We start from the raw sequence: 23,704 nt of genomic DNA on the forward strand, positions 1-23,704 counted from the left end.
GTTTCTTTTTCTTTTTCCTTTCCTTTCCTTTCCTTTCCTTTCCTTTCCTTTCCTTTCCTGTCCTGTCCTGTCCTGTCCTGTCCTGTCCTGTCCTGTCCTGTCCTTTCCTTTCTTTCCCTCCTTCCCTCCCTCCCTCCCTCTCTTTCTCTCTTTCTTTCTTTCATGGAGTTTCACTCTTGTCACCCAGGCTGGAGTGCAATGGCGTGATCTCAGCTCACCGCAACCTCCACCTCCCGGCTTCAAGCAATTCTCCTCCCTCAGCCTCCCAAGTAACTAGGATTATAGGCATGCGTCACCACACCTGGCTAATTTGTGTATTTTTAGTAGAGACAAGGTTTCACCACGTTGGCCAGGCTGGTCTTGAACTCCTGATCTTAAGTAATCCACCCACCTCAACCTCCCAAAGTGCTGGGATTACAAGCGTGAGCCACTGCACATGGCCCCAGCCACTTATTTTCTTGTGATTTGTCAGCAAACAGCCTCTGGGGTTGTGACTGCTGGAAAGCACCTCCAGCTTTTGTGGAGCCAGGTGTGGCTGGCACTTTTCGTTGGGATCATGTTTGGATCTCCCTCAGGCCTTCTCACCATGTTCCTCGTGTGCCACACTGGTGAGATAACGGGGTGTGGGAGAGACTGGGCATTCAGATTCAGCGGTTATAATTAAAGGGCAACACTGAGGCCAGGATGGCTGGGATCCTCTCGTAGCTGCCATGTGACCTCTGGCCTTTTTGTCCTTCCCCATGATGTCACCTTTCATTGGATGGTGACTCCCTGCACATACCCCCAAAGGTGTCCATGTCCTAATCTTTGGAACCTGTGGATATGTTACATTATGTGGCAAAGGAGATTTTTGCATGTGTGATTAAGGGAAAGATCTTGAGATGGGGAGATTCTCCTGCATGACCCAGGTAGGCCCAATGTAATTACAAGGATCTTTAAAAGAGGAAGGTAGGAGGTCACAGTCAGGGAGAGAGAGCAGGATTCTGGCTTTGAAGGTGGAGGAAGGGGCCACAAGCCAAGAAATGCAGGTGGCCTCTAGAGCTGGGAAAGGCAATGGGTGGATTCCCCCTTGGAGCCTCCAGAAGGAACACAGCCCTGCTGACTCCTTGGTCTTAGCCCAGCGAGACCCGTTTTGGAAATCAGACCTGCATAATTGCAAGATGGTAAATTTGTGTTGTTGTAAGCCACTAGGTTTGTGGGGCCATCCTGGCCTCAGTGATGCTTATTTGGGAGTGTGTTTTTTTCCTATTACTGCTCTAATCTTTTAAATTAGATCTGAAGAGATGCTCTAATTTTTTTTTTTTTTTTTTTTTTTGAGACAGAGTCTCACTCTGTCACCCAGGCTGGAGTGCAATGGCATGATCACAGCTCACTGCAACCTCTGTCTCCTGGATTCAAGCCATTCTCTTGCTTCAGCTTCCCAAGTAGCTGGGACTACAGGCATGGCATGCGCCAGCACACCTGGCTAGTTTTTTGTATTTTTAGTAGAGACAGGGTTTCACCATGTTGGCCAGGCTGGTCTCCAACTCCTGACCTCAGGTGTTCCACCTGCCTCGGTCTCCCAAAGTGCTGGGATTATAGGCGTGAGCCACCGCGCCCAGCCCGAGATGCTCTAATCTTTTAGAGCAGTAATAGTAGGTTGGTGCAAATGTAATTGCAGTTTAATTGTAACTTTAATGGCAAAAATTGTGACAACTTTTGCACTCATCTAATAGGAAACACACTCCCACGTAACCATCTCCTGAGATCCCTTTCCTTGACCCATTCGGTAAATATTTACTGAGCCCCTCCACATGCTGGAGACTCTGCTTGTCACCAGATTGACCAAAGCAAGGTCTTGTCCTTCAGGGGTTCAAGTCTTAGGAAGACAGAGACAAGATGACAAGGCTAAGATTGTCACATAGGGTGTTAGGTGGATCGTAGAGAAAGAAGACATAGAAATCAGATGGCATTGGACCAGAGAAATTTTCTCAGATGTCAGTGAAAGGAGCTTTGAACTTGGAGCGAGCTCTGGAAATGTTGTCTGGTCGCACTGGGTATCTAGTAAATATTTCAAACTCAACGTGTCCAAAATGGAATTTGTCACCAAAACAACGGAGATCTCTGCCTTTAAAACCTATTCCTCCAGTTTTCCCCATTGTGGTAAGAGATACCACCATCCAGCCAGGTCCCCATGCCAGAAAGCTAGAGTCCTCCTCGGCCCCTTTGCCACCTTCATTTCTGGCATCATGTCCACCTCCTGGTTCTTGGGGTTCATCACTGTTTGGAGATGTGCTTCCCTCTGCCACGGCAAGGCTCCAGGATCCTAGGCTCAGAGATGGGGGAACCGAGAAAAGCATCAAGTATGATCTGTGTCCTCACCTAGGTGCAGTAGGAGGTCAGTGTAGGGGTCCATGGGCAGGTTCCCTGGGCTCCAGTTTCAGCTCTGCACTTACCAGTGTGACCTTGAGGTCAAAGTGCTCGACCTCGTGTGCCTCAGTCTCCTCACTGATAAAATCGCAATAATAGTAGGACCTATCTCACAGCAGTGTTTTAGAATTCAATGTAACAAGCACTTAGAATAACACATGTTCAGTCAGTGATAGTGGTGGTTGTTGGAGGAAGCTTCTCTACAATACTCAGTGCTTCAAATGGTGATAGCAGCAGCCACTCATTAACCACGTCCTCTCAGTGGTCTTATTAACCTCTGTCCTTGGCGCTTTAAAAATCCTCCTCATGCTTTTTGACGAGTCTACCCATTTTATAGATGGGGAAACTGAGTTTCATAAAGTAGCAAGAACCTTCCCAAAGCCACTTAGCTGGAACAGCTTTACCGTGATTTTCTAGTATGACTCTCAAGGCTGCCGGAGACAATTTTGAGTAATTGCTGGGTTTTTAAAAAGTTCTTCTTCTGTATCCATTTGAGGTCTTGGTTTATCCCTGCTGGAGATCCGCAGAACCAGCCTCCTGCCTCCTGTGGATCCGATGAGATGACTGAAGATAGGACACTTGATCCTGGACTTGTTTCTACTTCCAGCCTCCCTGTTCCCCTAGGGAATTTCCTCATGTTTTGCAGATTCCTAAGCCCCATGATTGTGCTGTGGCCTAGGGCTGCATGTCCTTGTTGACCTTGCGCTGAAATAAGACTCAGGGGATGCCCCTCAACGGGATGTGTGGTAAGGTGCATGGTTAATCTCATACATTATAGAGGATTGCTGGGTTTTTTTTTTTTTGGGGACAGGGTCTCACTCTGCCACTGAGGCTGGAGTGCAGTGGTGCCACTATCGCTCACTGCAGCCTCAGCTTCCCAGGATCAAGTGATCTTATCTCAGTCTCCCAAGTACCTGGGACCACAGGTGTATGCTCCCATGCGCAGCTATTTTTTGTATTTTTTTTTTGGTAGAGCTGGGGTTTTGCCATGTTTCCCAGGCTGATCTCGAACTCCTAGGCTCAAGGAGTTCACCTGTCTTGGCTTCCCAAAGGGCTGGGATTACAGGCATGAGTCACTGTACCCGGCCTGCATTTATTTCTTTAAAATCCTACTTCCTCTGTTTCAGATGAGGGATCAGAAACATAAATACCTGCAGGCAGCTGGATAGGTGACCTAAATAAGAGAAGCAGGTTGTATCTAGGGGACAAATGACAATAAACACAGGCTGCACACTGGGAAAGTTCTAAGGGTGGTGGGAACCGTGGTTAACGGGGAGTCAGTGCATGTGTGCCTGGTGTAAAGTGGACAGATCCTACGTCATGCTGCAGGCTCAGGGTCCACAGATCTGCAGTTGGAAATGTAGGTTGTTACTGTGAAATCTCCTCATTTAAAAAAAAGCGTTGACGCCGCCAGGCACGGTGGTTCATGCCTGTAATCCCAGCACTTTGGGAGGCCAAGGTGGGTGGATCACCTGAGGTCGGGAGTTCAAGTCCAACCTGATCAACATGGAGAAACCCCGTCTCTACTAAAAATACAAAAGTAGCCAGGCATGGTGGCGGATGCCTGTAATCCCAGCTCTTTGAGAGGCTGAGGAAGGAGAATTGCTTGCACCTGGGAGGCGGAGCTTGCACTGAGCCGAGATCATGCCATTGCACTCCAGCCTGCGCAACAAGAGCAAAACTCCGTCTCAAAAAAAAAAAAAAAAAAAAAAGTTGACTCATTGAAACACACAAATAAGCAAAATGATCTTCACCTGACAAAACACTCCTGTACCCTGATGCAGTTCCCAGGCCAACAACTTGTGAAGTCTGTTCCAGACTGTTGAGAAATGTCATTTTTTTTTTTTTTTTTTTTTTTTTTTTGAGACAGAATCTTGCTCTGTCACCCAGGCTGGAATGCAGTGGTGTGATCTCGGCTCACTGCAAGCTCCGCCTCCCAAGTACACGCCATTCTCCTGCCTCAGCCTCCTGGGACTACAGGTGCCTGCCACCACGCCCGGCTAATTTTTTTGTATTTTTAGTAGAGACTGGGTTTCACCATGTTAGCCAGGATGGTCTCGATCTCCTGACCTCGTGATCCACCCATCTCGGCCTCCCAAAGTGGTGGGATTACAGGCGTGAGCCACCGCACCCGGCCGAGAAGCGTCATTTTTATTCTGTGCTGTGGTGTGGTGCCTCTTCCTTTGCTTTTATGAGCTGCAGTTTTGATCAGCGAGTCCTTGCGGGTCAGCAGAGGGTCTTGAGAAAAGGTTGCTTTTACAACCTTAAGCAAGTTATAAAAGTCGTCTGAGACTCAGTTTCCTCATATAGAAGCCAGCCGTCACAGCCTCAGCCTTCCGAAGCTGCTGTGATGATTGAACAATGTGGCATTTTCCTGAGTGCCTGGTGAAGTCGGGTACATAGAAGGTTTCAACAAATGTGAATTTATTTCCCCTTAACTTGCATTCCTTTTTCTTTTCTGAATGCCGAGGTGGGTGGATCATGAGTTCAGGAGATAAGAGGCTGTATCTTACCAACTGCATTCTGATTTTACAGGAGATCACAGAATGAATTTCCTGTGTGGGCCATTCTCTCAAACATTGCTAGTCTCAGGAATAGTCAGAAAAGCACAGGACCTGGCTTTTAATGATGACAAGGACTGCCCCCTCTGCCCTGTCTTTTTTGTATCTGTGATTTTCATTCATTAATGGGGTAGTTAGTAGTTTTTATTTTATTTTATTTTTTTTGAGACGGAGTCTGGCTCTGTCACCCAGGCTGGAGTGCAGTGGCACGATCTCGGCTCACTGCAACCTCTGTCTTCCGGGTTCAAGCGATTCTCCTGCCTCAGCCTCCTGAGTAGCTGGGATTACATGCACACACCAACGTGCCCGGCTAATTTTTGTATTTTTAGTAGAGATGGGATTTCACCCTGTTGGTCAGGCTGGCCTTGAACTCCTGACTTCAGGTGATCTGCCCGCCTCGGCCTCCCAAAGTGCTGGGATTACAGGCGTGAGCCACCGTGCCTAGCCAGTTTCACCATGTTGACCAGGCTAGTCTCGAACTCCTAAGCTCAGGTGATCCACCCTCCTTGGCCTCCCGAAGTGTTGGGATTACAGGTGTGAGCCACCACACCCGGCCCATTTCTCTGTTTTATATTGCCATGATACCTTTGCCAAAAGTGAGAAATTAACATTACCACATCGCTATCAAAGTTCCAGAATTTATTTGGACTTTAACAGTTTCTCCTCGTATGTTCTCCTTCTGTTCCAGGATTCATCCAGGACACCACATTGCACCTAGTTTTTGTTTATTTCCATCGATATGTAGAGGTGTTTCTTTCTTTTGAATTGCTGTAGAGCATTCCATTGGTGACAAGAGCCATTTTGTCCACTCTCTCCTGCTGGGCATTTGTGCTGAGTCCCTTTCTCCTTTGAAATTGCAGAGGGTGCTGTGGTAGCTGTGGATGGGGAAGGAACCTCTGAGTGGGGGGGCGTGTGTATTTCCAGCCTCAGTAGTGAGTGCCAAATCGCTCTCTAGGGGGCTTATTCTACCTCTCGGTGGCATCCCCACTAGGTGCCAGGCACTTTCCTGCTGTGGACCCATGAACGGGCAGTGCTGTCTTGCCTTCAAGGAGTGGAGAGATTAAATATATAATAGTGGCCGGGTGCAGTGGCTCATGCCTATAATCTCAGCACTTTGGGAGGCTGAGGCAGGGGGATCACTTGAGCCCAGGGATTTGAGAATAGCCTGGGTAACATGATGAAACCCTGTCTCTACAAAAAGTACAAAAATTAGCCAGGCATGTTGGCACGCATCTGTGGTCCCAGCTACTTAGGAGTCTGAGGTGGGAAGATCACCTAAGCCCAGGAGGTTGAGGCTGTAGTGAGCTGTGATCATGCCACTCACTCCAGCAGTGTCTTGTCTTTTTCTTCTTCTTTTTTCTTGAGACAGAGTCTTGCTCTGTGGCCCAGGCTGGAGGGCAGTGGTGCTACTTTTGGCTCACTGCAACCTCCACTTCTTGGGTTCAAGCGTTTCTTGTGCCTCAGCCTTCCAAGTAGCTGGGATTATAGGCGCATGCCACCACCACTGGCTAATTTTTGTATTTTTATTAGAGACAGGATTTCACCACGTTGGCCATGCTGGTCTTGGAACTCCTGACCTCAAGTGATCCATAGGCCTCAGCCTCCCAAAGTGCTGGGATTACAGGCATAAGCCCCCATGCCTGGTAAGACTGTGTCTTAAAAAACAACAACAAAAAAATGTGTGGGGTGTGTGTGTGTGTGTGTGTATATATATATATACACACATATATTTTATATATGTATATATATGAATGAAATGGCAAAATCATCTGCCAAGGGCTGCAGCTGACTCCAGAGGACCCTGGAGGAGACTGACAGACACAGTGTGTGATAGTGGAGGGGGATGGGAAGGGTGAGGGGGGCATCGGGCTTCTGGATGACTGAGGGTATATGCAAGTGCAGAGACAGCGTGACTAGAATGTCCAGGCAGGAGAGGGGAGATGGACAGGCACTGCGGGTCATGAGGGTTTCAGAGAGCATACGCAGTGTGTCCCAGCTGGTGACAACCTTGCTCTTCCTACAACCAACCATACACATTTCCATCTTGGGGCCTTTGCATTTACTATTTGCTCTGCCTGAAATATTCTATCTCAGACATCAGCCCAGATGTCACCACCTCTGGGGAGGCCTCCCTGATAACACCTTCTATGAGAGCCCCTCCCTCCTGGTCACACACCATGCTTTGCTCTTCTTTGGTTTAGTTTTTGTAGCACTTGTGATTGCCAAGTGTAATAAATATTGACTTGTCTCTGTCTCCTCCTATTAGAATGTAATTCTTCGAGGCCAGGAATTTGGTCTGTTTTATTCATAGCTGTATCCCCAGCTCCCAGAACAGTGCCTGGCACGCTGGCTTTTACCTACTCTTTGTTGACCTAATGGCTGAATGAACGGACGTGACCATCATCGTGAGAATCTGTGGATAATAGCAGCAAACATTTAAACACAGGCTGTGTGCCAGGCACTGCACTAAGCACTTGGCCATGAACTTGGTCTCCTTAAATCCTCATGTCAATGCCACGAAACTGGCCCTCTCTATTTGTCTCAGTTTTACACCTGGGGACATGGTGGGGTTAGTATTTGAACCTCATCCAACCCCATACTCCAGTTGGGACCCCTGGCTGGGTCTCTGACCAGTGCTGGGAAAGAGGGAGGCAGGTAGATTTCAGCCCCAAGCTGTGGAGTCCAGCAGGCATTTGTACCCCGAGTGGGACTCAGATCCTTGTGTTAGGGGGAACTTAGGCCAGAAGTGCCTGGGCTAGAGGGTAATGGGGACCCCAGGAGGCTCCCCGCTCTTGCCCCAATCCTGCCTTGTCTGAAAGGGAAGGAAGGCTCTTACCTTCTAGCTGTCTGCAACAGGAACTGCCGGGAGGCCACGCTAGCCATCCCCCAACTTTGGTTTGCAAAACTCTGAGCCTGGTGGGGAAATGAAGGGCTGGCTTGCTAACCACAAATGAAGACTCATTTGCACAGGCAAAGCGGGGGCAGGGGTGACTCCTCTTGCCCTAGCGGAAGGGACTGACTTCTGCAGGCTGCTGTCTTGCTGGAGCCAGTCATGCCCCACCATTGAGCCTGGGCACTCGGACACAGTTACCAGCAGTGGGCTTTGTCGTCCTCCGGCCTCAGTCTTCTCCTTTGATAAATGGAGGGGGGGAATAGTGATATTGTGGCGATTCTGTGGCACTCAAATGAGGAAATGCACATAAAGCCTTTGCTCAGTGCCTGACTCATGGTGAATACTTGGGGGGATATTCACCATCATTGTTAACAGTGGTAGTGGTCAGAGGTGGCAGTCACCATCAGAGCCTCTCTCCTGGGCTCCGCTCCACATGGCAGCCACATTTTAGGAATAATCCTCAGATTAAGCAAAAGAGGTTAAGTGAATATTCCCTAATGCATGCTCTTCTTTTCCTTTTTGAGTAGAATCTGTCCCCACCCTGCCTTTTTTTGAGACACGATCTCACTCTATCACCCAGGTGGGAGCGCAGTGGCATGATCACGGCTCACTGCAACCTCTGTCTCCTGGGTTCAAGCTATCTTCCCACCTCAGCCTCCCAGGTAGCTGGGACTACTGATGTGCACTACCATGCCCAGCTAATTTGTGTGTGTGTGTGTATGTATTTTTTGTGGAGATGGGATTTTGCCGTGTTGCCCAGGCTGGTCTTAAACTGCAGAGCTGAAGCCATTCTCCTGCCTCAGCCTCCCTTAGTGCTGGGATTACAGGCATGAGCCATTGCGCCCAGGCAGAATCTACCATTTTAATTACACTTCTGTGAGTGGTATGATATCCAGTTGACTGCGTGAGGATCAGATCCCATTCTTGCAAAGCTAGAGAATGAGGCAGAGGCCTGCCATCCTTGCAGCTAGTGGGAGACCCTGTGGGTGACCCATTAGCCATAAGAGAGCAGGCTAAGTGCCCAGATAGGAAGGTGTCAGCGTGTGAGGCCCAGGCAGCCAGTGGTCAGCCGATACTTGAAGGCCTCCTGTGTGCCCAGCTTGCTGCTGGGGCCATGACAGTAACTGAGGGAAACAAGTCACGCTTGTGAGATGTGATGAGGACCTGGAAAGGGAAGTCCAGAAGCGGAAGGCAACCTCTCAGAGAGGGGGTGTCTTGTGGGGACTTACAGCCAAGGTGAGGGTGCTTTCCTGCTGGCACCCACCTCGCAGAACCCATTCCTTCCCTGAGTCTGGTCTGTGAGAAGAGCCCACAGCATGAGGATACCACGTTTGGGGTTCAGCAACCCCAGAATGAAAATCACCCTTTAAAGAAGGAGTGCTTTACCTTTCTGTGGGGGCCACAGCCTGGTTGTGTGTTAGAGTCACTGGGCTCTGGAGAAGCTTCTGGAGGACTGGGGCCTTCTTTCGCAATCTGTCCACACCCCCAGGGTCCTTTTTCCTGGACTGTGGCTCCGGTCGGTACACGGGTCCTGAGCCAGTATTCTGGCCCGGGGTGGCCGTTCCCTGTGGGTGAGGAGGAGGCACCTGGAAGCCCCTGGCCTCTCCTGTTAATCACTGACAAGGTAAAAGGATACTCCTGCCTGTTTTTTTTTTTTTCAATTTCAAAATTTAAAAAAATCTTTTTTTTTTTTGAGTCAGGATTTCACTCTGTCACCCAGGCTGGAGTGCGGTGGTGTGATCACAGCTCACTGTACCTTCCACCTCCTAGGATCAAGAAATGCTCCTACCTCATCCTCCTGAGTAGCTGGGACCACAGGCATGCACCACTACTCCTGGCTAATTATTATATATATTTTTTTGTAGAGGTGGGAACTTACAGCCAAGGTGAGGGTGTTGCCTAGGCTGGTCTCGGAATTCCTGGGCTCGAGCTGTCCTCCTGCCTTGGCCTCCCAAAGTGGTGGGGTTACAAGCATGAGCCACGGCGCCCGGCCTCCTGTGTGTCTTGCCTAACGATTGCCTTTGGCGATGGGAGTGCTGAATGCTTCTGGCATCTCTCTGTCTGCAGAGGCTTACCTGACTTCAAAGGAAGCATTCATCTTTAGCCAGAAGCTAGCAGGTTCACCCCAAGGTTTTCTGAGAGGTCATTCAGGGAGCAGCTGCTGGAACGTGGGAATGGGGACAGGAGGTAACTGGACTTACCTTGTCTCCGGGCCTTCCACTGTGGGCCACCCGCACAGACTACCCTGGTGTCTTTGGCATCAAAACCCAGCCAGGTGGCCTTGAATGGGTGACTTCATCTTCCTGGGCTGTCTCTGGAAAATGGGGCTTTCTTCCCAAGATTGGTGGGAGGATTAAAGAGATGTTGAGGTCAACTCTGACACCTATTAAATGTTCAGTAAGGGGGACCTGGTTTGTTCTCTGTCCCAGTAGGTGTTTCTGCCCTGAACTTGACCTCGGAGGGCTCGGTGTTCTGCTGGCTGCTGGCAGAATTGTGAGGGCGGTCTGTGTGAGAGTCTTAGCCCAGGAGCCGGCGCGGGTGGTGTTGGAGAACTCTGGGCCTGCAGCTAGACTGGCAGGACTCAGACCCCAGCTTGCCCAACCTGCCTGAGCCTCAGTTTCCCCTTCTGCAAAATGGAGTTGATGATAATGGTAGTTACTTAGGGCTTTGGGAGAGACCGCTGAGATGATGGACAGAGAGCACTCGTCACGTGGTTGATAGACCCTGGATCTGCAGAGCTGCTGCTGCTGCTGCTGCTGTTGGGAGTTTCAGAGCTGGGGCTCCTTGAGGGATGTTCCTGAGAGGAAGATTCTGGTAGGACCCACCTGGGACAGGGTGAGATCTGAGCAGGGTGGGGAGGAGAACCCACTGGACCAAGGCATGGCTGCCCTTTACAAGGGCTCCCAGGACGAGGACAATCTCCTTTAACAAAACCTCCTGCCAGTCCCCAGAGCTTCTTGGCCATGAGCTGAGGAGTTTTTATTTGTTCCTTTGGTCTTTTATGGCTAACTCTGGATTCCTCTTGGGTGGATGGGGAGGCAGCCTTGGTCCATTGTAGAACTGGGTACTACTGCAAAAGTGCCAAGTCCTTGCTGTAATCTGCTCTCTGGAGAACAGACCCTGTGGGCAGGGGAAAGGCCCATTGCCCACCTCCTGGTGTCATGAACACTGTTTTTCTCAGTGGGAGGAGGTGGAGGTACCCAAAGAGGAGGAAGTGGCCTTCCAGGTGCCACTTACTTGGTTTGGTGTCAGCTCTGTTATTGATTCACTGTGTGACCTTGGACAAGCTCCTTGTCTGCTTTGAGCCTTAGAATTTTATGTCTGCAAAATGGGTATAATAATGACTCCTCTGTCGTAGGGTGGCTGGCACGAAATGGGATAATTTAGGTGAAGCAGTTAATATACTACCTTACGTACAGCTAACACTTAGTAAGTAGCTGTTATAATAATAATGAAGATGGCCGGGTGTGGTGGCTCACACCTGTAATCCCAGCACTTTGGGAGGCCAAAGCGGGCAGATCACCTGAGGTCAGGAGTTTGAAAGCAGCCTGGCCAACATGGCGAAACCCCATCTCTACCAAAAATACAAAAATTCGCCGGGTGTGGTGACACTACTTGGGAGGCTGAGGTATGAGAATCGCTTAAACCTGGGAGGTGGAGGTTGCTGTGAGCTGAGATTGTGCCATTGCTCTCTAGCCTGGGCGACAGAGCAAGACTCGGTCTCAAATATAATAATAATAATAATCATAATAATAATGATAATAATTGAAGATAATAGGAAAACCATGTTATTACCTATATTAGTGTCCTGTGGTTGCCATAACACAAGTGCCACAAAATGAGGGACTTAAAACAGAAATGTACTTATTCCCTTGCAGTGTGGAGCTTAGAAGTCTGAAATCAAGGTGTTGGTAGGGCAGTGCTCCCGCTGGAGGCTCTAGGGGAGGATCCTTCCTCTCCTCTTCCTGGCCTCTGGTAGCTGCTGGTGACCCTGGGTGTCCCTTGGCTGGTGGATATTGGCACTCCCATCTCTCCCTCTGAGTGTGTCTCTGTCCAAATTTCCCTCTTACAAGGACAGTAGTCTTGGGTTAGGACCCACCCTAATCCAGCATGAGCTCATCTTGACTACATCTGCAAAGACCCTATTTCCAAAGAAGGCCACATTCACACATACCAGGGACTGGACTTCTATGTATGTTTTTGGGGGATGCAGTTCAACCCCCAACATTACCCGTTTATACTTTCTTTCCAGGGCCACCAAGGACAAGACCAGAGTCATTTTCATCCTGAATTGGTGTCAACTAGTGTTTTCATACCCTAGAGACTATCCAAATGACACAGCTGACCCAATCCCTGCATTTCTCAGAGGGGGAAACTGAGGCCCAGGGAGGTAAAATGACTCTCCCAAGGTCACACAGTAAGGTAGTGGCAGTGGGACTGGATCGTGGATCTCCTGGTGCCCTGTATTGGCCCACGTGTCAGCCATGGACTCGTATTCCCACTGGTGGAGCCAAGAGGTTTTTGCTGTCTGCAGGGGAGAGCACTTTGGATCTTGGCTTCTCGTTTCATCCTTCCCTTGGTAGTGGTTAAGAGTGCAAGCTTTGGGCCGGGCAAGGTGACTCATGCCTGTAATTCCAGCACTTTGGGAGGGTGAGGTGGGTGGATCACCTGAGGTGAGGAGTTTGAGACCAGCCTGGTTAACATGGTGAAACGCCATCTCCAACAAAAATACAAAAGTTAGCCGGGCATGATGGCACACTCCTTTGGTCCCAGCTCCTTAGGAGACTGAGGCAGGAGAATCGCTTGAACTCAGGAGGCTGAGGTGCAGTGAGCTGAGATTGTGCCACTGCACTCCAACCTCAGCAACAGAGCAACACTATGTCTCAAAAACGAGTGCAAACTTTGGAGCCTGGCCATTCAGGTTCAAGTTCTGGCTCAACCATTGTGACCTTGAATGAGTCAGTGACTCTCTCTGCTTCAGCCTCCCCACCTGTGGAAGGAAGACAGTCATCTCAGCCTTACATGAGTGCACAGGTGTCAGGACCCCTGCTGTGCACACGGGCATGTACTCAGTGTTTCTGTGCATGTGGTTTCCCTTCCCTTTCCTCCTGTTTGGTTTTCTCTGAAGCCGAAAGGTCCTTAGTAGGAAGTTGAGGACCAGCGTTCTCCATGGGAAGACTCAACATCAGTTACAACTCTAGAATTTATTCCAGGCCATCCAAGTTAAGGTAGTTGTCTGTATTTTGAGAACCTTTCTCTTGCTGTAAAAAGCAAACAAAAACAAAAAAAGACAAACTAGCAAACTCAAAGAACGAGAATACATATACATGCAGTGCTGCTTCAGATGGAAGTCAGAAAAGTGTGTGATCAAATGAAAGGCTGTTGTTGAAAGGGAAGTCTGCATTTACTCTTCTGCCAGTTCTCAGACTACCTCAACTCCTTGCTGACATTCCTAGGAATTGTGGTCCCAGCTGGCTTCTATAGCTGTGTGACCTTTGCCTTTTCCAAACGAGTGGGCACCCTGCAGGCCACTTCCTCTGGGTTTCAGTGCCCAGCTTATCAGGAGGCTGCATGAACATCTATTTCTAGCTGGGCGGGAAATAGGACGGGTCCTGGCAGAAGGCGGAGCCCAGAGGTGGCTGGTAGAATCCCCTGGGAGGAGTAAGGGATGCTCTCCGCAGGGACCCCCGTGTCGTGGGTGCCATGGCAAAGCGTTAACAACAGGCAGTGCCTAGGGAGCCTGAACCAAGGTTGGGAGTGTGGTTTCCTTCTCAGTTCCCTTTCCGTCTTCCTGATTATGACAAGAACATCTGTTTGGTACCAACATGTGTTTTTTTTTTTTTTTTTTCTCCTTGATGCTGTGCATTTTTTTCCATTGGAATTTTTGTTGAGATAATTGAAGAATCACATAAAGATGTAAGAAATGATACAGAGAGATCTCATGTGAACGTTACCCAATTATCCCCAATGGTAATATCTTGCAAACCTGTAGTGCAGTATCACAGCCAGGATATTAACATTCACAACATTCATAGAACCCACTACCAGTCTTATTCAGATTTTCCCCCATTTTCCTTGTACTTGTGTGTATTTAGTTATGTACAATTTGGTCACATGCATAGCATCCTATATCTGCCATCATAGTCAAGAGACTAAAGCAATGTAATGATTTCTTACACCAATTCCATTTCCAAAATTTTAACATGTCTGTCTTTGAAAGATACTAATTTTCTTTTTTTTTTGAGGCGGAGTCTGGCTCTGTTGCCCAGGCTAGAGTGCACTGGCTTGATCTTGGCTCACTGCAACCTCTGCCTCCTGGGTTCAAGTGATTCTCTTGCCTCAACCTCCCAGCTTCCCAAGCACCTGGGACTGTAGGCACCTGCCACCATGCCTGGCTAATGTTTATATTTTTAGTAGAGATGGGGTTTCACCATGTTTCCCAGGCAGGTTTTGAGCTCCTGGCCTCATGTGATCTGCCTGCCTTGGCCTCCCAAAGTGCTGGGATTACAGGCATGAGCCGCCGTTGCCAGCCTGAAAGATATGAAATGTCTTTATTAAAATATAACTTGCAGACATAAAAAAGAATGAGTTCATGTCCTTTGCAGGGACATGGATGAAGCTGGAAGCCATCATTCTCAGCAAACTAACACAGGAACAGAAAACCAAACGCCGCATGTTCTCACTCATCAGTGGGAGTTGAACAATGAGAACACATGGACAGAGGGAGGGGAACATCACACACCAGGGCCTGTCAGGGGGTGGGGGCAAGGGGAGGGAGAGCGTTAGGACAAATACCTAATGCCTGCAGGGTTTAAAACCTAGATGATGGGTTGATAGGTGCAGCAAGCCACCATGGCACAGGTATGCCTATGTAACAAACCTGCACGTTCCGCACATGTATCCCAGAACTTAAAGTAAAATTAAATATATATATATATATATATATATATATATGTAAATAACATAGATGTGGTAAAATGCACACATGGTGCATGTAAGGCTCAAGGCTTTAAGCATGGGTCCACCTCTGTGGCCATTCCTCGGGTCCCGGTGACCCAGTCCTCTCTTTAGGTGACACCACTCTGACCCCATCAGTGAGTCTTGCATGGCTAATTGGCTTTGTGCCTCTCTTAAAGGCTTCTCATTTCCCTTTATGACTCACAGAACCAAGCCGAGGGTTTTGCTTCCAGCAGACAACTATTTCTAGGTAGAATTTAATCATATTGTCACGTTTCCACTGATTTTATTATTTTGCAGTTCCTATTGTATATGGTGAGTGTTACTGGTTTTCTTTTTGCCAAAAACATAAAATCACTCTTAACATACATCAGTTCAGGTGAAAACGGTGAGTTGATTTAAAGAAAACTATCACATAAATAGTATCAGCAGTAGGCAGATACAACAAACCTTATAAGGTTGATAAACAAATGTTTGCAGTTTGAGAAATAATGTCATATGGCTCCAAACCACCCCCCAAAACTGGTCAATCCATGTGTGAGGAAAAAAAAAAATCTCTATATAGTCTTTGTATAATGAGAGTTTTCTGTGTAATTTTGATACACAGTACTGGTTTAAAGAAAAGCAGAATTAGCCTATTAAAATATTAATAGGCTGTATATAAAGTAATGAGCCCTTCCTTTATTGCCTTAATAATTTTTGTTATATTTGCATACCATGAGTACTATTTTATATCTAATACTTATTTTAATATTGATTCACTATTTTTAAACTTAATTTTATATAGAAAAGAAACTTGATTTCATAGTTTAGAGGTGCCAGGTATGTATTTTTTCAATATATTTTAAAATATACTACAGTTAAGACATAACAAAGGGTGGGCACCATTTAAATTTAATTACCAGCAGGAGGGTGAAAAACACCAAGTTTAAATGGCACCAAAATGATGAACATTTAGGCTGGGCATGGTGGCTCATGCCTGTAATCCCAACACTTGGGGAAACCAAAATGGGAGGATCACTTGAGGCCAGGGATTTGAGACCAGCCTAGGCAACATAGTGAGACCTTGTCTCTACTAAAAAGAGAAAACTTAGGTAGGTGTGATGGTGCATGCCTGTAGTCCCAGTCACCTGGCTTTGGGAGGCTGAGGCAGGAGGGTCCCTTGAGCCTACGAGTTCAAGGATGCAGTGAGCTGTGATTGTGCCACTGCACTCCAGCCTGGGTGACAGGGCATGACCTTGTCTCCAAAAAAACTTAAAGAATTATTTGATGGCCCATGCTGGGGGTGTTAGTGGTGAGCACATAAAGCTCCTCATTTTCTCATTGTCTCCTGAGTTTGGAAATGATTGAGAAATGAAACATCGGCAATCAACGAAGGGCGATGAGATGGCTGCCTGGAGAGCATGCTTAGAATTGAGCCCTGACAGCTGGCCCCTGAGCTGCCCACCCTGTCATGGCCTGGGTGGATGCCCATAGGTGTCTCAGAGCAGCAGTCCCAGACTTTTTTGGCACCAGGGGCCGGTTTTGTGGAAGATAACTTTTCCATGGGCCAGATTGGCCTGGGGGGATAGTGTGAGGATGATTCAAGGGCATTACATTGATTGTGTACTTCATTTATATTATGATTACATTGTAATATATAATGAAATAATTATACAACTCACCGTAATATAGAATCAGTGGGAGACCTGAGCTTGTTTTCCTGCAACTAGACAGTTCTATCTGGGAGTGATGGGAGACAGTGACAGATCATCAGGCATTAGATTCTCATAAAGAGTGTACAACCTGGGTCCCTCACATGTGCAGTTCTCAATAAGGTTTGTGCTGCCATGAGAATCTAACGCCGCTGATGATCTGACAGGAGGTGGAGCTCAGGCAGTAATGTTCGCTAGACCCCTGCTCACCTCCTGCTGTGCGGCTCGATTCCTAACGGGCCACAGACAGGTGCCAGTTCATGGCCTGGGGATTGGGGACCCCTGTCTTGGAGGCAGCTCCCTTCCGAGTGGCAAGGAACAGGGCAGGGCACGTGGTCCCTTGGGGGTGGATCCAGCTAGAACAAGATGAAGAGGCTGAGTATCCTCAGTTCCTTTTTCCAGGGAGTGGTCCCTTCCTCCCTTGGGGATGGGGAGTCCCAGAGGGGAGAGAAGCACCAGTTTCCCCAGTATCACTTAAAACTCTTATCTATTGAATAGTTCTGCATGAATATGAAGCATTAGAATCACAGACCTAATTATTTGAGCATAATGATCTGGGAAGAATCTCTTCACATGGAAGCAGGACACTGATTTTCGCCTCTGCTGTCAGCGCAGTGGCAACAACTCTGTTGTTTATTATCTTTTTAACAAAGAAGATAAGGGCAGGCCCACCCCCTATCTGCAGGCCAAAAAGTAAACTTTATTTATTTATTTATTTATTTATTTATTTATTTATTTATTTATTTATTGAGATAGAGTCTCACTGAGTCGCCTAGGCTGGAGTGCAGTGGCATGATCTTGGCTCACTTCAACCTCCGTCTCCTGGGCTCAAGCCGTTCTTCTCAGCCTCCTGAGTAGCTGGGATTACAGGCACCCAGGCGCTTACTACCATGCCCAGCTAATTTTTGTATTTTTAGTAGAGACAGCATTTCACTATGTTGGCCAGGCTGGTTTCAAACTCCTGACCTCAAGTGATCTGCCCACTTCGGCCTCCCAAGGTGCTGGGATTACAGGCATGAACCACTGCGCCCGGCTGTAAACTTTACTTTTTGCAAAGTTTTTTTTCAGATATATCTCTATAGGGTGTATGTTCTTTTTCCATTTCATAGATGAGAAAATAGACAGTAAGCCAGAATAGAGGCTTCTTCATACAGCCAGGAGAGAAAGAGCTGGATTTAACTCATGCCTGCTAGATCCTTCTAGAGCTGGGCTCTTTCTGCTCTACCGTGTGTGCCTCGGAAGCCCCTTTTGTCATTACATGTTCTTCTGCTGTGTATCTCACCTATTCCCCCAGCTGCCATGTCAGACGCTGCTACATGTGTGAAGTAACCTAACACCTTTGGTTTTTCTTAAAGCAGGGTCCTTGGCTGAGATCAGTAAGCAACGCTGGGGCTTTTTACTTAAAGTGAAACCACCAGCAGCTGGGAAGCTGGTGTTGCAAGGTGGTACAGAAAACCATTCAGCCTAGTAGCTAAACTCACCTTGGTGGAGCCCTCCTGGGGCCACGTGATTTTTATTTCATGTTATTTCATTTGGTTTGCATGACAACTCAATGATAAGCATCACTGCTTGTACAGCGGAGGAAACAGCAAAGAGAAGGGATGCAACGTGCCTGGTTCCTGTGCACCCCTGGGGAGCATAAGCCAGGATTTGAACCAAGGTCTTTGTACTCCAGAACTCCCTACAAAGGGAGGCTTTCTCCTCTTCTTCCCAGGTGAGCTCCAGTCTGCAGAACTCAGCCAGGATGCATGTGCTCAGAGAAGCCTTTCTTCCCCTTGCTGGGGAGGAGCCCCAGTGTGGACTCTGTTGCACTCCTGATGTGGATGGAGATGTGGATATTCACATATCATATGCCGGCCTGGACAGGGCCTGTCCTCCCTCCCAGACTCGGAGCCGTCTGAGGGCAGGACTGTGTCTGTCTCTGCAGTGTGGCATCCCTAGCGCTCAGCGTGGGGTTCTGTGACTGCCTGGTTGACTGAATAACTGAAAGTCGGAAAAGAGGTTGGGGTATGTGTGGGAAGGTGCCCAAGCCTTCTGTCTGTCTGTTTGCTCGCTTGAATATGTCTTGAGCTTCCAGAGAGAAATTTTTGTTAAGCTCATTGTCAGGTGTGGTGCCCCTTGAGGTCATGTATGGGAATTGGGGAAAAAGCCATGTTCCTGGTGTCAGGGGTGGGAGGACGTTCCGTGGGTGCAGGGAGCCTGAGAGAGACAGAGAATCAGTAGCGGGAGGAGGAAGGAAATGGGAGCTTGAAGAACAGGGTCATGGCCCGGCCAGCAAAGGGGTCGGTGGTGTAAAGCGGGGAGTGAGAGGAAGCTATGAGACGTACGGAGGGGCCAAAAGTCCGCAAGGCTGTGCCAGAAGGTGATGGGTAGGCAGGGAGGGCTGAGGGAGGGTGGCTGGAGTGGGGTGCCGGCCTTTGAGGCTGACTCTAGGAGACTCAGTGTGTGGGGGTTTGTTTGCAGGGGGTGGGAGTGGAGGGATGGGTGGTGGGGGTGGGGTGGACCTGGGAAGACCCGAGGTGATGCTGGGAAGGGGGTGGGGTTGTGCAAAGATGAAGCCTCATTTCTGTGGCTGGGTTATCTCACTTTCTTCAAGCAGGAAACTCGGCCACTGAGCCCCACCATGCAAGAGTGCATGGCCTGAGGTCTGCTGACCACAGCCTACTTTGAGAATAAAGTGTTGTTTCAGTCACTATGAGCCCTTGGCAAAAATTTGAACCCATGCAGACAAAGCCCTCCTTGACCATCATTTGCCCATCTCCTTCTCACTAGTAGTGCCTGTTGTCAGCAAGTTGGTGGAAATCTTTTGGTACCCTTTCTCACACCTTTACACTCATACGTGCACACTTACAAATAGGCACATTCCTTCTTAGCTGAATCCAGTACATTCCTGAAAACACACTGGAGAGGAACATTTTTGGATTGCAATATATTACATCATATTACACAGAGACAAGCGCTGATGCATTACCAACTGATTGAAACACCCCAGCCAATTTCCTTAGTATCACTTAACAACCTTAAGTACCTAAAATCAGCCTACCAATATTTTTCGCGTGAATACAAAGCATCTACAGCAACAAATGCCCAATTTTTGGGTGCTTTGATGAACCCATTGCTAAGCATGTTTGCAAAAAGTACATAGGATACTATACAGTAATGTTTCTGAATTAGGATATTCTTCTATCCTCCAACTACCTTGTACTGTAATGGAAAAAACAATGAAATGATCTGCTTAAAATACTAAAGATTCATTTAAATTGGACCCTGGTTGGTAGTTTGCTTGTCAGAAGCAAATGCTGGGATGAAAGAAGAACTCAATAGAATGGGCAGGATGCCGGGTTTGATGTGCCGTTGGTTGTGTGTCTAACTGCTTCTCTTCCATTGCAGACAGACACGCCTTTCCTTTCCTTTTCTGTTTCTGTTTCCTTTTCCTTTTTCCTTTTCGTTTTTCTTTTGTTTTCTTTTTCTTTCTTTCTTTTTTTTTTTGAGAAGGCGTCTTGCTCTGTGGCCCAGGCTGGAGTGCAGTGGTGTGACGTCGGCTCACTACAAGCTCTGCCTCCCGGGTTTATGCCATTCTCCTGCCTCAGCCTCCCGAGTAGCTGGGACTACAGGTGCCCGCCACCACACCCGGCTGATTTTTTTTTTTTTTTTTTTTTTTGGTATTTTTAGTAGAGACGAGGTTTCACGTGTTAGCCAGGATGGTCTCTATCTCCTGACCTCGTGATCCACCCGCCTCGGCCTCCCAAAGTGCTGGGATTACAGGCGTGAGCCACCGCGCCCGGGCACCTTTTCATTTTTCTTTTCCTTTCTTTTCTTTCTTCTTTCGGATGGAGTTTCACTCTTGTTGCCCAGGCCGGAGTGCAGTGGTGTGATCTTGGCTCACTGCAACCTCTGCACCCCCACAATGGGTTCAAGTGATTCTCCTGCCTCAGACTTCCTAGTAACTGCGATTACAGGTGCATGCCCCCATGCCCGGCTAATTTTTGTATTTTTGGTAGAGACAGGGTTTTGCCATGGTGGCCAGGCTGGTCTCAAACTCCCAACTTCAAGTGATCTGCTTGCCTAGGCCTCCCAAATCGCTGGGATTACCGGCGTGAGCCACTGTGCCTGGCCCACACCTTCACTGTTTTCATTGGCACCTAGGTGCTCGTGAACCTCGTACAGCAGGTCTATGATCTGGATTGTGCATTTTGCATAAAAAAAGAGTTAATAAGTTATAGTAGACATTCAGATAGTGAGAATTTGCATAGTGATGGACACTTGTATATAATATGTACATGTACACATGGCCATGTATGTGTGTACACACATGGATGCATACATCTAGTCTCCTATTTACACAGGTCATCGAGGAGTTTTTGTCATGTCGGTACATAAGGATCTGCCTCCTTAATGTTCACAGCAAATAAATTGAGACACCATGTTCTTTCTTTTTTTCTGAGACAGGGTCTTGCTCTCTTGCCAGGCTGGTGTGCAGAGTTGTGATTACAGCTCATTGCAGCCTCAAACTCCTGAGCTCAAGCAATTCTCCTCCCTCAACTTCTTGAGTAGCTGAGACTACCAGTGTGCACCAGCACACTTGGCTAACTGCGTTTATTTTTTGTATTTTTTTTTAGAGATGGGGTATTGCTTTGTTGCCCAGGTTGGTCTTGAACTCTCTGGTTTCAAATGATCCTCCTACTTCAACCTCCCAAAGTGCTGGAATTATAGGCATGAGCCATTGTTCCCTGTCCCGTGTTATTTCTTATGCCTTATATGTGTCCAGCTTGATTCAGTTGCTAACAAGTACAGAGAAGCTTCTACATCTTTGTTTTTTTTCCCCTACATTTTTGTTTTGCCAGGTACTATTTTAATTGACAAACACACATGTACAGTCGCACACTCATTTAATCCCCACAAGAGCACTGTGTGGTAAGTATCACTATCACTCCTGTTGTTCACATGAAGAAGCAGAGGCACAGAGAATTGAAGTTACTGTCCAAAGCTATCTGCTATAAGCTGGGGAGCTGGGACTCCAGGTTCCAGAGTCTGTCCACCTCATCAGTAGCGACACTGCTCCTCATGACTTGGATAGCTCCTGGGAACATGAATTTGCAGCCCCTGCACTAGAATCTTGTTCCCAGCCTCGGGTCAGAAAGGTGGCTTGAATGCACTGCGTTGAGCGCAGTGGGCCTGACCGCTCTCTGTGCAGCTCTGCACCCCTGTGGGTAGTGGGATCATCATTCACCAAGATGCCCCTGCCTGATGTAAGATCAAGGGGTGGAGATGTCAACAAAAATGCCCACCGACCCCCTCAGACTTTGCTGAATACCAGATAGAAAACCCTGGAGAGAGCTGCATATTCTTATGTGGCTTCTTAGAGTCACTTGCTTGACTATGAGTCAAAGTTCAAATGCTGGCTCTTGCACTTGTGGCTGGTGACCCTGGCCAAGGTACTTCACTTCTCCACATCTCAGTTTCCTCATTTGTAAAATAGGGGCAGTCATGGTACCTGCCTCATAGTGTTCTTGTGAGGAACGATGAGTTAATACAGAGGATGCTGTTGTGCCCCACTCAGCTCCCATTACCAGGCTTGTGCTCCATTTCCCAGCTGCTAGGAGTGTTGGGTGTCGTGGCTCACAGGTGCCCCTTCTTCAGGGCACTGCTCTCACTAGAAGAAATCTGCATCACCTAGGAGGTTGTAGTGGCTGTAAGCCAAGCCAATGACTGACTGGCAGGGAGGACAAGAGGACTGGCCTCCCTTCCTTCAGGAGGACCTACTTTTCCGGTGTGATTCATGCTCCAGACATCCCCCCGCCACTCCCTATACAGTCAGGGTGAAGCCCATCCCTAAGTGGGACCACAGCCTTGTTTAGCTTTATTCTGCTCGCCATCCCACTCCTGCACTCTCCCAGTAAACACTTGAGCAAGAATTCCTGACTCAGGCTCAACTTCCAGGGAACCAACCTATGATAACATGCAAAACATTAGCACTCTGCCTAACACAGAGTAGGTGCTCTGTAAGAGTTTTGCTATATAGCATTTATTTTTATCCTCAAGGATGAGGCTACTGTATCTGTAAGACCCTTGAGGGCCAGGATCAAGTACATCCAGCAGAACATCGGGCTTATGGCTAATGCTTAAAAAGATCATGAGTAGATAGTCCATGTTCATGGATAGGAAGACTCAATATTTTCAAGATATCAGTTCTTCCTGGCTTCATCTATAGATTCAACACAATCCCAACCAAAATCTAATAGAGATACAAGAAAAGGTTTTTTTCAATTCACATTCAATACAGCACGAAACACTTCACCTCAGAGAAAGGAAAAATCAAGGTGTGTTTTTTTTCTCTTTCTCTTTCCTCTTCCCTCTGTACTCAACACTTTTGACACCAGATGTGTATGGTTTTCCCCCCACGCATCAAGCAAACAATTCTCCATTGGACACCAGTTTGGTGTCCTCTAGTTCAGTTCAATTCTGATACTATCTACTTGGAGCTAGAATCAGATTCCACAGGTTGAGAGCTCAGTCCCTCAAGACTCTGTCCCATTTCAGGTGCCAGTCACAAGCCCAAGTTGTGGCCTATGCTTTTGACTGACTGGCTATAAATTGGGGTTCCAATAACCCACTCCTTGGATTTGATTAATTTGCTAGAATGGCTGACACAACTAAGGGAAACATGTATACCAGTTTATTAAAATGATATTACAAAAGATAAAGATGATCAGCCTGATAGAAGAGATGCATAGGGCATAGGGTTCCCATGTTCTCTCTGGGCATGCCACCCGCCAGAAACTTCCATGTGTTTAGCAACCAAGAAGCTCTCTAAGCCCTGTCATCCTGGGTTTTTATGAGAGCCTAATTACAAAGGCATGATTGATTAAATCATTGGCCATTGGTGACCAACTCAGTCTTTAGCCCCTCTCTCCTTCCTGGACGTTGGGGGTAGGGCTGAAAGTTCCAACCCTCTAATCACATCGTTGGTTCCCCTGGCAGCCAACCTTCATCCTGAGGTATCTAGGAGCCCCCAGCCCTACAAAAAGATACTTATCACTGCAGATTCCAAGGGTGTTAGGGGTTGTGTGCCAGAAAATGGGGTTGGAGACCAAATATATGCAGTCAGTCCTCTGTATTTGTGGATTCTGCGTCTGCGGATTTAAGCTATGGTCGATTGAAAATATTTGAGAAAATTGCATCTTACTGAA

At 47.8% G+C, this 23,704-nt stretch overlaps 1 protein-coding gene and 1 long non-coding RNA gene across 5 annotated transcripts in view, besides 5 other annotated features; one reads left to right on the top strand and one right to left on the bottom strand.

The window, feature by feature from the left end:
- The window catches only part of PLCG2 (phospholipase C gamma 2), a 223,645-nt gene that overhangs the window by 84,951 nt on the left and 114,990 nt on the right, over nt 1–23,704 (top strand). The gene's annotated exons all lie outside the window — the stretch shown is intronic.
- On the bottom strand, nt 5,595–7,903 carry LOC124903731 (uncharacterized). Its single transcript, XR_007065139.1, has 2 exons — nt 7,807–7,903; nt 5,595–5,845 (listed from the first exon to the last, which is right to left on the bottom strand). It is a non-coding gene; the product is annotated as an uncharacterized LOC124903731 (long non-coding RNA).
- Nucleotides 7,253–7,834: an enhancer, noted in NCBI's record as "H3K27ac-H3K4me1 hESC enhancer chr16:81864849-81865430 (GRCh37/hg19 assembly coordinates)". NCBI's record gives its function as "activates a minimal SCP1, AML or CMV promoter by ChIP-STARR-seq in naive H9 embryonic stem cells {active_cell/tissue: H9 hESC(naive)}" and the evidence as "EXISTENCE:reporter gene assay evidence [ECO:0000049][PMID:30033119]".
- Nucleotides 7,835–8,416: an enhancer, noted in NCBI's record as "H3K27ac-H3K4me1 hESC enhancer chr16:81865431-81866012 (GRCh37/hg19 assembly coordinates)". NCBI's record gives its function as "activates a minimal SCP1, AML or CMV promoter by ChIP-STARR-seq in naive H9 embryonic stem cells {active_cell/tissue: H9 hESC(naive)}" and the evidence as "EXISTENCE:reporter gene assay evidence [ECO:0000049][PMID:30033119]".
- Nucleotides 9,107–9,156: an enhancer, noted in NCBI's record as "active region_11222". NCBI's record gives its function as "activates an Ori minimal core promoter by ATAC-STARR-seq in GM12878 lymphoblastoid cells {active_cell/tissue: GM12878}" and the evidence as "EXISTENCE:reporter gene assay evidence [ECO:0000049][PMID:35858748]".
- Nucleotides 12,992–13,181: an enhancer, noted in NCBI's record as "active region_11223". NCBI's record gives its function as "activates an Ori minimal core promoter by ATAC-STARR-seq in GM12878 lymphoblastoid cells {active_cell/tissue: GM12878}" and the evidence as "EXISTENCE:reporter gene assay evidence [ECO:0000049][PMID:35858748]".
- Nucleotides 18,741–18,800: an enhancer, noted in NCBI's record as "active region_11224". NCBI's record gives its function as "activates an Ori minimal core promoter by ATAC-STARR-seq in GM12878 lymphoblastoid cells {active_cell/tissue: GM12878}" and the evidence as "EXISTENCE:reporter gene assay evidence [ECO:0000049][PMID:35858748]".

The sequence above is a fragment of the Homo sapiens genome, chromosome 16 (assembly GCF_000001405.40).
Source record: "Homo sapiens chromosome 16, GRCh38.p14 Primary Assembly".
In the NCBI taxonomy this organism is placed as follows: domain Eukaryota; kingdom Metazoa; phylum Chordata; class Mammalia; order Primates; family Hominidae; genus Homo; species Homo sapiens.